The 12,591-nt window shown below is 36.4% G+C and overlaps 1 long non-coding RNA gene across 5 annotated transcripts in view; it reads right to left on the reverse strand.

The window, feature by feature from the left end:
* Nucleotides 1-272: 272 nt before the first annotated feature.
* Nucleotides 273-12,591, reverse strand: part of LOC102723985 (uncharacterized) — a 50,131-nt gene continuing 37,812 nt past the window's right edge. For 4 of the 5 annotated variants that reach the window (XR_007064738.1, XR_007064735.1, XR_007064739.1 and 1 more), the window contains one exon: nt 284-384. This is a non-coding gene — a long non-coding RNA (uncharacterized LOC102723985). Of the gene's footprint in view, nt 385-12,591 lie in introns of all 5 variants that reach the window. The other variant, XR_007064737.1, reaches the window with a different exon arrangement.

The following is a 12,591-nucleotide window of genomic DNA, read 5'->3' on the forward strand; positions in this document are numbered from 1 at the left end:
TTCTTCTGACTATTCATATGTATCGAATTTAGCTAAATGATTTCCTGTACCTATCAAAAGAATCACGTTTTTCTTTCTATCTTTAATGTATCAAATAAGATAATCTATTCCTTGAGATTTTTGTAAAAAACTCACCTTAAAATTTGTCTAGACCTGGTTGTCAACTGTTAAAAAACATTTTACTGAAATTTATTATTAGAGCTTGGGCCACATGGTGAAATCCCTGTCTCTACAAAAAATACAAGAAATTAGCCAGGCATGATGGTACTCACCTATAGTCCCAGCTACTCCAAGGCTGAGGTTGGAGAATCACCTGTGCCCGGGAGGTTGAGGCTGCAGTAAGCTGAGATCATGCCACGTCACTCCACAATAATTTCTACATACCTATGAATGTTCACAAAGTTAATATACCTTTATTCTCAGTGCTCTACAAAGAAAGAGAACATTACTAGCACCCCAGAAAACTCCTTCATATCCCTTCCAATCACTGTCTCCTCCTCCACCAGGGACAGCCTCTGTTCTAACTTCAAATAGCATGGACTAATTTACCCGCTTTGTGCTTTATATAAATTGAATAGGACAAGATATACTCTTCCTGTGTCTGAAATTTTTTGCCCAATGCTATGTTTTCCAAAATGCATCCATGTTGTCACGTCGGTGTAGATAATTCCTTCTCATTGTTACACAGTTTTACTTCGTGTGAACAAGACTATTTATTTTTCCATTCTGTTCTTGAGGGACTCTGGAAGTAGTTTCCAGTTTGGGGTTCTTATAGATAGTGTTAACAATCTAGTACATGACCTCCTGTCCTTTTATTAAAGAGGGAGGTGTGTTGTGGGAACTACTATTTTTAGTAAGAACTGAAAATTTTAAATAATTTCCGATTCATTTGTCTACTTTTTTCTTTGGTCAATTTTGTTTATATTTTTTCTTTGAAGTTATTAATTTATCTAAGCTTTTAGATTCTAGATAGGTGTAAATTTGTTCATAATATTTTCATATGATTTTTAAAAGTCTGAATATGTCTCTAAAATCTTAGCATTATTCTAACTAGCATGAATTTAGACTCTTATTCTTTCTCTGGCTATTTTTTGTTCTGGTTTGTTTTACTATTTTGTTTTCTTTCAACAGTCATCCTTATAATATCTTTTCTTTTGCTTCTTTTAGGTTTACAATATTTTTCTTTACTTTTATTAAACATGTTGCTTATTTCCAGCTTTTCTCGTGTATGTGGTTAATAGATAAATGTAACTAATGCTTTATATTTTGTCTTAAGTCCCACTTTAGATGCATCCCATGTGCTTTGATGTGCTGAGATTTTGTTGACAGTCATAAATATTTTGTAATGTCTATTGTAATTCTCTCATTGACTAGAGATTATTAAGACACAACTATATAGCTACTTATGAGAACCTTTGTCTTACTGGGAACACAGTCAGCTGTTATTTCCCTTTGCAGTTGTAAGTGGCCACAATTGCATTGCAGCCAACAAAATGTGATCAGATGTGATGTCCATTATCACCTTTCCTGATCCCTAAGAACTCCCACACTTGACCCTCCATGCTCTTCTGCCTTCCCCTGGCTTCATGCAGACGAGCTCACAGACCTTGGAAATCAAGCACTGAAGACAGATGAAGCAAAAGGGAGAAAATGAACTGCTCACAAAAAATAAACACCCCTTGGAGGCTCTCATTGAGGAATAAAGTAAGCTTCTGTTATGTTTGAGCCATTATGCAGTGGATGCTTGTTTATCATAGGAACCAGTGGTACTTTAGCTAACATAGCTATATGGGGTTGCATTTTGTTAATTTTAAAATAATATATTTATTGGATTTTTTGTCTAATTTAATTGTTTTATAGTCAAAGATTTCATCTGTTTGATACCAGTTCTTTGGTTTTTGATGAAACTTCTTTGGGGCTTGATAGGTAGAGATTGTTTATAAATGTTTCACATAAGTTCTAAAAGTATATATTTTCTTTATTTCTTTGACCATATATCTATGATCAAGCCTGTTAATTATAGTGCTCAACTTTTCTCTGACTTTACTAACTTTTGGCTACTTGATTGCTCTTAGAGAGGCTTTGTTAAAATGTTTTCCACTTTAAGTGTGGAATTGTTTTATTTTTCTTAAAAGTCAAGTCATAAAAGCAGAAAGTAGTATGGTGGTTGCCAGGAGCTAGGGAGTAGAGGAAATGAGGAGATGTTGGTCAGAGTAGGACCTTTCAGTTATAGGATAAGCAAGTTCTGGGGGTCTAATGTGCAGCATGGGTGGTGATGGGTGTAATTAATTTGACTGTAATAACCATTGCAAAATGTGTACTCATAGAAAATTAACACATTGTACACTTTGAATGTATTCAATCTTTATTTAACAATTAAATTTTTTAAAATAGCAACATTATTGCTGCTAAAAGCAATGATTTGGTTAAATTTTGATTCATAGATTTTGAAGCTCTATTGTTAGATACATTTATTTTTGTGATGGTTTATCTCCTTATCATTTTGAATGCTCTCTTTATAGATTCACTAATGTTTTTGTCTCAGAATCCTTTTTATCTGACATTCTCTTTGCCAGATTAGCATATATTTTTCCAGTTTATTATTTTAAAACTTTTTATTTTGTTTTAGGTTGTATTTTTTAAAACAGTATATATCTGAGTTGTGTTTTTATTTCATCTGATCTGAGGATCTGTACCTTTTAAATTCCATCTGTTTATACTTGCTGTGTTTGCTGACGTATTTGGGCTTGTTTTTACTATCTTCTTTTTTTCTGCAATTATTTTATCTATGCTTTCTTTTTTTCTTTCCGGTCTCCAATTATTCTATTAAATTAATTAAATATATACACAACACAGACACACACACACACATACACACACACACACACACACACACACAGACTAGAATAACACCTGGAACACAGTGTGATATAAGTATTATTATTATTACTCAAGTTATTTTCATTTCATTTTTCCCATGTTTCCTTTATCTCCATTTTCATTACTCCTTTTGTAGTTATTCATTCTATTCTTTTTTAGTGGTTACTCTTTAATTTTTAACAGGCATTTATTAACATAATAAAGTCTACAGTTAATTCAGTATATCTCTCCGCTTACCAGACAATACAAGGGCAAGCTCTAACTGTAATTTTCCTCTATTGGTTTCACATTATTACTGCTTAGCATTTAATTTCTTCTTTTAAAAATAAATTCCACAAAATTCACTTTCTTTAGTGTTTTATTTCAATTTATTTAGATTATTTAGATTTATCGAAATACTAACCAAATTCTTGAATACATTATTTCTTGCATCCCATTCTTTCTGGGGAATTTTATTTTTTGTTGTCATTGACGAAAATTCCTTAGTATTTATTTAAGTGATAGTCATTGAGTTGCAAAGTTTCTCCGTCTTTTGAATCTGAAAATAACTTCTTATCACCCTAACTTATTTATAAAGAAACTACAGGCCATTCTTTAAAGATGATAATATAGATAACTTAAACTCTCTGTGACCTTTGCATTTTTAACTCACACTTTTAAAAAATAAACTTTATGGCCAGGCACGGTGGCTCACACCTGTAATTCCAGCACTTTGGGAAGCTGAAGCAGGCGGATCATGAGGTCAGGAGATCTAGACCATCCTAGCCAACATGGTGAAACCCCATTTCTACTAAAAATGCAAAAATTAGCTGGGCGTGGTGGCGCACGCCTGTAATCCCAGCTACTAGGGAGGCTGAGGCAGGAGAATCGCTTGAACCCGGGAGGCAGAGCTTGCAGTGAGCCGAGATCCCGCCACTGCACTCCAACCTGGCCACAGAGCAAGACTCCGTCTCAAAAAAAAAAGAAAAAGAAAAAGAAAAAAGGAAAAAAACTTTAACTTCCATTAACAGTTTCAGATTTTGAAGAAAATTTTTTCAAGTAGTACAGAGAGTTTGCATAAGTCCCGTACCCAGTTTCCACTGTTAACATATATATATATATATATATATATATATATATATATATATATATATATATATATATATATACACACACACACATTTTTTTTTTTTTTGAGACGGAATCTCGCTCTGTCGCCCAGGCTGGAGTGCAGTGGCGAGATCTCAGCTCACTGCAAGCTCCGCCTCCTGGGTTTGCGCCATTCTCCCGCCTCAGCCTCCCGAGTAGCTGGGACTACAGGCACCCACCACCACGCCCAGCGAATTTTGTTTTTGTATTTTTAGTAGAGATGGGGTTTCACCGTGTTAGCCAGGATGGTCTCGATCTCCTGACCTCAGGATCCGCCCGTCTTGGCCTCCCATAGTGTCCACTGTTAACTTCTTAGGTTAGTACAGCACACTTGTTACAATGGGTTAACCAATATTGATATATGATAATTAATAAAGTGATACTCTAGTCAGATTTCCTTAGCTTTCACGTCCTTTTCTGCCCCAGTATCCCATCCAGAACACTACATTACAGTTAGTTGTCTTGCCGCCGACTTAGTTAGGATCCTCTTGGCTCTGATGGTTTCTCACACTTTCAATGTTTTTGATGACCTTGACAGTTTTGGGGTGTACTGGACAGGTATGATCTGTCTAATGTTTTTCTCATGATTTGACTAATGTGATCGATTTTGGGGAGAAGGATGGTGGAAATAAAGTGCCATTTTCATCACTTCATATCAAGGGTACTCACTACCAACATAGCCTATCACTTGACTACCTGGCTGCAGCAGTGTCTGTCAGGAAAATGACTCTTTTTTGCCCCTCTATCCACGCTGTATTCCACAGAGGAGAGTAGGGCATGTATGCTCCTCTTCCTTGAGGGTGGAGAGTCCACATAATTCATTTAGCAATCTTCTTCATGAGGGATTTGTCTCTTCTCCCTTGTTTTTTAATTACTTCAGTCGTTTATTTATATCAATATAGACTCATGAATATTTATTTTATACTTCAAGTTTTATCCAATGCTACTTTATTTTATCCAATATAAATTATTGGAAGAATTTTTTGCTCAAATTATTCCAGTTTTGGCCATTAAGAGCTTCCTCAGTTATCTCCTGTGTCCCCTTGGCATTCCCTCATCATTGTGGGGTTTTGTGTTTTAGCATTTCCTTACCTTTCGGCTCTACAAGATGCTTTAGGCCCATCTTGTATATTTCCTGTCCCAGTCCTAGAATCAGCCATTTCTCCAAGGAGCTTTGTTTCCTTTTATTGGAGAATGGTATTAGAAACCAAGATCAACGTGCTAGGTGAGCTTGTTCCTACTGTAGTGTTATTTTTTTATGCCTGCTCAAATGACAGAACAAGGAGATTTATGTGCACATACTAACCCAAGTATATACACATATCTATAAATTTTGCTATATGCAACATGTTAAACCAAGCATGAGTTTCTACTGATGTTGCTAACTCTAGCACATTCCTACATGGATGAAACTAGCTTCCTTCCCTTGGCATCTGTAAACTTTCACTACAACAGTGAGAAACTATCTCTCACCATCCACCATCCATTTGCTTAACTGCTCAATATGAATATATATGTATCTCAGTTAACCCACACTACTGTGGGATACAACTTTATCATCTACGGTATAGTACTTATATACGGTTTCTTTCGCCTTTAGTTTTACAGACTTCGCTCATTTCCAGAATTACTTCACTCAGCACCTTTCCCTCACCCCTTTCAGGAAGGTTGTTTTATACATTTAGAATACAGTTAGATTGTTTTGTCAAATTCTGCATTCCATCCTGAGATTTCTGCAAAGTGACAAATTATTTGTTTAAATTTGCATACATTAAATTTCATTCTTTTTGCTGTAACATGCAATGGCTTTGAAAAATGCAGACTGCCATGAATTTAAAATTATAGTACCATACAGAATAGCTTTCCCACCCTGAAAACATCTGTGCTTTACCTATTCAACCCTCCCTTTCCTAGCCCTGAATCCCTAGCAAACTACTAACTTTTTTACTACCTCTGTAGTTTTGCTTTTTCCAGAGTGGCATATAATTGAAATCATACAGTATGTAACCTTTTTCAGACTGGCTTCCTTCACTTAGCAATATGCAGGTACTATGGTCTGAAAGTTTCTGTCCCCTCAAAATGTATATGCTAAAATACTAACCCCCGACGTGATGGTATTGAGATTTGGGGCCTTTGGGAGGTGATTAGGTTATGAGAGTGGAACTTCCGTAAATGGGATTAGTGCCCTTATAAAAAAGAGGCCCCAAAGATCTGCCTTGTCCCTTTCACCTTGGGAGGACACAGTGATAAAACACCATCTATAAACCAGGAAGCGGGTCCTCATGAGACATTGAGTCTGCCTTGATTTTGAACTTCCCAGTCCCCAGAACTATGAGAGAAAAAAAAAAAAAACTACATTGTTTATAAGCTATCCAGTTAATGCCTTTTTTTTTTTTTTTTTGAGACAGAGCCTGACTCTGTTGCCCAGGCTGGAGTGCAGTGGCACAATCTTGGCTCACTGCAACCTCCACCTCCCAGGTTCAAGTGATTCTCATGCCTCAGCTCCCCAAGTAGCTGGGATTACCAGCATGTGCCACTACGCCTAGCTAGTTTTTGTATTTTAAGTACAGATGGGGTTTGGCCATGTTGGCCAGGCTGGTCTCGAACTCTTAACCTCAAGTGATCCACCACCTTGGCCTCCCTAAGTGCTGGGATTACAGGTGTGAGCCACTGCACCCAGCCAGTTAATGGCATTTTGTCAACACAGTCCAACTGGACTAAGACAGTATTTTAGGTTTTTCCATATCTTTTCATGGTTTGGTAGCTAATCTCTTTTTATTGTGCAATATTAGTCAATTATATGGATTTACTAGTTTTGGTATCCATTCATCTATTGAATGACATCTTAGTAGTTTCCAGTTTTGGGTGATTGTGAATAAAGATACTATAAGCATTTGTGACCAGGTATGGTGGCTCACACCTTAATCCCAGCACTTTGGGAGGCCGAGGTGGTCAGATCACTTGAGCCCAGGAGTTCGAGACCAGCCTGGGAACATGGTGAAACCCTGTCTCTACAAAAAACTCTAGCTGGGTGTCGTGATGCATGCCTGGAGTTCCAGCTACTCAGGAGGCTAGGTGGGAGAATCACCTGAGCCCAGGAAGTCAAGGCTGCAGTGAGCAGTGATTGTACCACTGTACTCCAGCCAGGGCGACAGAGTGAGACCCTGTCTCAAAAAACAAAACAACAGAAAAATTAAAAAACAAACAAATAAAAAACTTGTGTGTAGGTTTTTGTGTGGATCTAAGTTTTCAAATGACTTGGGTAAATACCTAATAGCACAACTACTGCACTGTACGGTAAGATTATGTTTACTTAATAATTATCTGCTTGTCTTCCAAAGTGACGGCTGTGTCATTTTTCATTTCCATCAGCAATAAATGAGTGTTCTGTGTTGCATCCTTGCCAGCAATTGGTGTTGGCAGGTTTGGGTTTTTGTTTTAATTTTAGCCATTTTAGAAGGTATATAATGCTATCTCATTGTTGTTTTAATTTGCAATTCTTTAACAACACGTAATGTTGAGCATGTTTTTATATTCTTGTTTGCCACCTGTATATCTTCTTTGGCAAGATGTCTGTTAAGATATTTAAATTATCCTGTTTTCTTATCATTGGGTTTTAAGAATTTTGTCCATTTTAAATAAAACTCATTTATCCCAAGCTTTAGCTTTTCTTCTTATTCTCTTAATAGTATCTTTTGAAGAACAAACATTTTGAATCTTAAGAAAATGAATCTTCAAGCCATAAGCATAGTAGATTTCTCTGTTGGTTTCTTTCATTAGAGTTGTGTAGTTTTCTGCATGAAGATCCTGTAAATATTTTATATTTTGGTGCTATTGTAAAGGCTAGTTTTTAAATTTCAAATTCCAATTGTTCATCACTGGTAGATAGAAAGGCCATTGTTCATTGTGCATTTACTTCATGAGTCCCCGGATCTTGCCATGGCCTGAGGCTGGGGTCTAGGTATATCTTGCCATCTGTCAGCTCTGGACACAGCTCTTCTGGTTCACCAGTCTTCTTAGCTCTTCTGAACAACAGTGGAATTTTTTGGTAATTGCTATACTGTATTTAGTCATATGGTTGTGCCACCTAAACTAGTCACAACGCTATTGCTCTCATTCAGCCATTCCATGTTGACTTCTGTGAGCAAATAATCTTCCATAGCTCCAAAGAGGAGTCACAGGAAGCCCCCTTCTCCCCTCAGCTCCTCTAAACTGTGTAGAATTGTTTCTCTCATTCTGTAATCTCCCCTGGGATTGCAATTTAGGTGAGAGAGTACATGTCACTTCTAACCACTAATCTTATCTCCTCTAATAGTTCCCCAATCAAGACAGGGCTTTAATCGTCTTCTTATGCAGAGATAAAGTACTCTTATATCACATTGAGTTCCTCCCTACTCTGTGGCTTATAAGGAGGGCATCCTTATAACCCAGTTTTCAAAAGACATTCCTGGTTTAAGACTGTTGTCCTGAGGTCCTGTGCGGTTTTGCATTTGTCTCAGATTTTTTTACTTTTAGTAAAGTACTGTTACTGGTAGTTGAGTTAAAATGACTTGGAATAAATTTGGTGGACTTCTACTTTGTTTAACTCATACATGGTATCTTCCAGTACTGCATAAGATACATATTCAGTGAACAGTGTTTTCCCTTTGAATTATTAAAGTAGCAAAAATTTTTTATTAATTAAACTTTTTGATGAGTAATACATGCACATGGTTCAACATCTTAAAAATCTGTAAGGACATACAGTGAGAAATCTCTCTTTTCTCTTTCTATGCTCCTGCCATCTAGAAATATTTTATGCATATTCAAGAATGTATTATACAAATATGCACACAAATATTTATGTATTATATTTTTATAAAATGATAGCATATTATACAAATTGTTTTGCACCCTCATTATTATTTAATATGAAATGGAGATCTTTCTATTTCAGAATCCTAAACTATTTTCTTATCTTTTTATAGCTGAGTACTAGTTCATTTTATGGGTGTACTTTATTTAACCAGTCAATCCTGTATTAACAGACATTTAGATTTCCCCCCAGTTATTTGCTCTTATAATTGTATAAAAAATGACTTTATAGCCACATCTTTGTAAGTTTTTATTCCAAAATTAAAATTTCTGGATCAAAAAATGCATTTTTAATATTTCCAAATTGGACCCTATACAAATTACCAAATTAGATCATCAATGTATGTCAGTGGGTACATTTCGCTACATACTCTCCCCCAAGTAATGTAGTCAAATATCCTTATCTTCACCAATTTAATAAAGAATTTCTCAGAGGGGTTTTAATGTATATTTTGATTATTAATGAGATTAAGCACTTTCATAAGTTCCAGACAACTATATATACTTTTGATGGACAACTTTTTTATATGCTTTGTCCATTTTTTAATTGAGATTTTGGTTCATTTGTTGTGAATGTGTAGGAACTATTTATCTATTGGAGAAAATAGTCTTTTCTGGTGATATGATATGCAATAATTTACTCCTTAGTTTTTATCTAATTTTTAGTTTTGCTTTGTAGTGTTTTGTTTGTTTGTTTGTTTGAGACAGGTTCTCACTCTGTCGCCCAGGCTGGAATGCAGTGGCAGGATCACAGCTCACTACAGTCTCCACCTCCCCAGCTCAATTGACCTTCTCGCCTCAGCCTTCCAAGTAGCTGGGACTACAGGCACGTGCCACCACACCCAGACAATTTTTTTATTTCTTGGTAGAGACAATGTCTTACTATGTTACTTAGGCTGGTCTCAAACTCCTGGGCTCAAGTGATCTTCCTGCCTCAGCCTCCCAAAGTGCTGGGATTACAGACATGAGCCATTGTGCCCAGCTACTTCTAGTGGATTTCATCATGCAGAAATTTTGTATTTTCATGTACTTTTATCTTTACGTTATGACTTCTGTGTTCTATATCATACTTAAAAAATATTCCTCATTCTGGGCCAGGCGCGGTGGCTCATGCCTGTAATCCCAGCACTTTGGGAGGCCGAGGCAGGCGCATCACGAGGTCAGGAGTTTGAGACCATCCTGGCTAACACAGTGAAACCTGGCCTCTACTAAAAATACAAAAAACTAGCCAGACGTAGTGGCACACGCCTGTAGTCCCAGCTACTAGGGAGGCTGAGGCAGGAGAATCGCTTGAACCCGGAGGCGGAGGTTGCAGTGAGCCAAGATTGTGCCACTGCACTCCAGCCTGGGCGAGAGGGAGACTCTGTCTCAAAAATAAAATTAAATTAAATTAAAATTAAAAATAAATTAACAAGGCATGGTGGCATGCACCTGTGGTCCCAGCTGCTTGGAAGGCTGAGGTGGATCTCTTGAGCTCAGGAGGTCAAGGTTGCAGTTAGCCCTGATTGCACCACTGCATTCCAGTCTGGGCGACAGAGTGAGACTCTGTCTCAAAAACAAATAGTATTTATTAATTAAAATAATAATTATGAAAACTATATAATATCCCAGAAAAAATATTATGAATATAATTTGTTGTTAAATGCAAAATGAAACACTATAGCAACATATATGTAAAAGATGTATATATACACGGTTATTTAGCAGAGAGCAATTTTTCTTCCTTTTTAAGAGATTACATTAATAAGAGATTTTTCAAAGTTTTAAACTGTATATATAAAATATTTCAATGACCCTTAGTGACTTTTATTTGGAAGTTTTCTAAGATTTATTTTATCATATATTTACCCATTACATTTTATTGTGTTACTATTCTTAAGCCATCAGTCAGATTAAAGTATTTGAAAGGAACACTTTAGAAATGTACTAATTATTTTGCTAAGAAGTGGCTAATTCAGAAATTGCCATAGAAGAATGACATTAAAATCTAAGTCATTAAAAAATCACCTTTTTAGAGCTGTCTTATGGTCAAGCAGAGCTATCACAATTGCACTACTATTACCCAAATGTAAAAAAGGAGGAGGAGGAGAAGGAAAAAGAAAAGAGGAAGGGGGAAGCTCATAAAACTCTAGGTTTTAGGTTTTTCTTTTTTCCATATTAGGTGCAAATAATACTTGCCCAACCTGCCTCACAGGATTGTTCCAAGACTCAATTGAAAGAAAACACAATAAGGGAGAGTGACTGTTATAATTATGAAAGTACTTATTAATGTCATTCTCCATCTAAATGTGCAAAGTTCCACCTGTTTTGAGGGAACAATGCCACCAGTCCTATAATACATGTTGAGGTTGCTAATATCTTCAAGAGATTGGGTTTAAAGGGAGGCCAATTATGTCTAGCTCCACACTTTGCAGGCAGCTGGCTTTTATTTTCTCCCCTTTGGAAGAGTGTTGCTTCACAAATCTTGACCTTAGTAGAGAGTGAATGAGAAAATGCACAGCCTGACATTGACTTTGAAATATCTGACAGGACACAGGGCTGAGAGCATCTATCAATAATTCATTTCAGGTTACGGGGCAGAACAGGATCCCCACTGGTTTTAAAGCCATTAATTGGTTGTTAGACTCCATTAAGTCACTCTGGATGTGAAAAGTATGTCTGAAGTTTAAAAACACAGAGATAGGAAAGCCAGCGCTCTTTTATTTTTTCCCACAACTGGTGTGACATCTTTGCCAATGAGAGAAAAGCCTAGGTCAAAAGGGGCTGAAAATTGAGATGACATCTACTTTCTTTGGTCTTTATACCCAGGAACCAAGCAAAGATGGCAAGTTTCTCAAACCATTGCCTTTCTCCCAAATGAAACAAAATCTTTATCTTGAAAGTTAGTTTCTCAATGGCTGCTTTATAATTTTGTAATGAATGCTGTTTGCAGATGTTTTATTAAAAGTATATATTTTAAAGACAGAAAAGGAACTCATAAGTAAAAATAAATAGATTTGTTAAAAATCACATGTTAATCAAAAACTAAGATAGATTCCTTATGCAGAATTGAGTATAGTTTGTAGCCATTTGATACTAAAAGACAAAGCAACAGCTTAGGCTAAGGCACCTACAGGGACAGTGGTGCCGATCAAAGGAGGTGTGGCATGGGGCAGGGAACAGATGCAAGTGTTGGGTTTAAGAATTTAGCAAAACAATGATGAAGCAAATTGGTCATTCTGAAATCTGCATTTAACCAATTTTGAATTTTAAAGAACTGATTTTTGGTGTGTTTGCCTATATCCAACTATTGGCCATCAGCAAGCGGTATCCTCCTCCTGAGCTGCAGTGCTTTTACGTTACAATGAAAGAGTTCTACAAGAAATCTTTCAACTCTTCTCTAGTTTCAATTTTTTTTTCATTCTATCACGTCTTCCTGAATAACCACAAGTGCACCAAGAAAACCACAATTTCATATGTGATTATGGAACGATATAGGGGACAATGCCGTTTATCTCTCACACAGTTTTCCTGTCATGGATTTGACATTATAGTTCTCATATTGTATACAGCACCTTTTTACAAATATTCAATTCTCATGGAAACCCAGACAGGCAGGTGGAACAATTATTTGTGTTTCCATTTTTTCAGATGAAAAAATCAGACCCAGGAAGTTTAAGTGAATCTAAAGATGGCAGAAATAGAAATGGGCACACAGTTTTGAAGATATTTTTATCTTGATTGCATTCC

This window comes from Homo sapiens, chromosome 15 (assembly GCF_000001405.40).
Source record: "Homo sapiens chromosome 15, GRCh38.p14 Primary Assembly".
Lineage (NCBI taxonomy): Eukaryota > Metazoa > Chordata > Mammalia > Primates > Hominidae > Homo > Homo sapiens.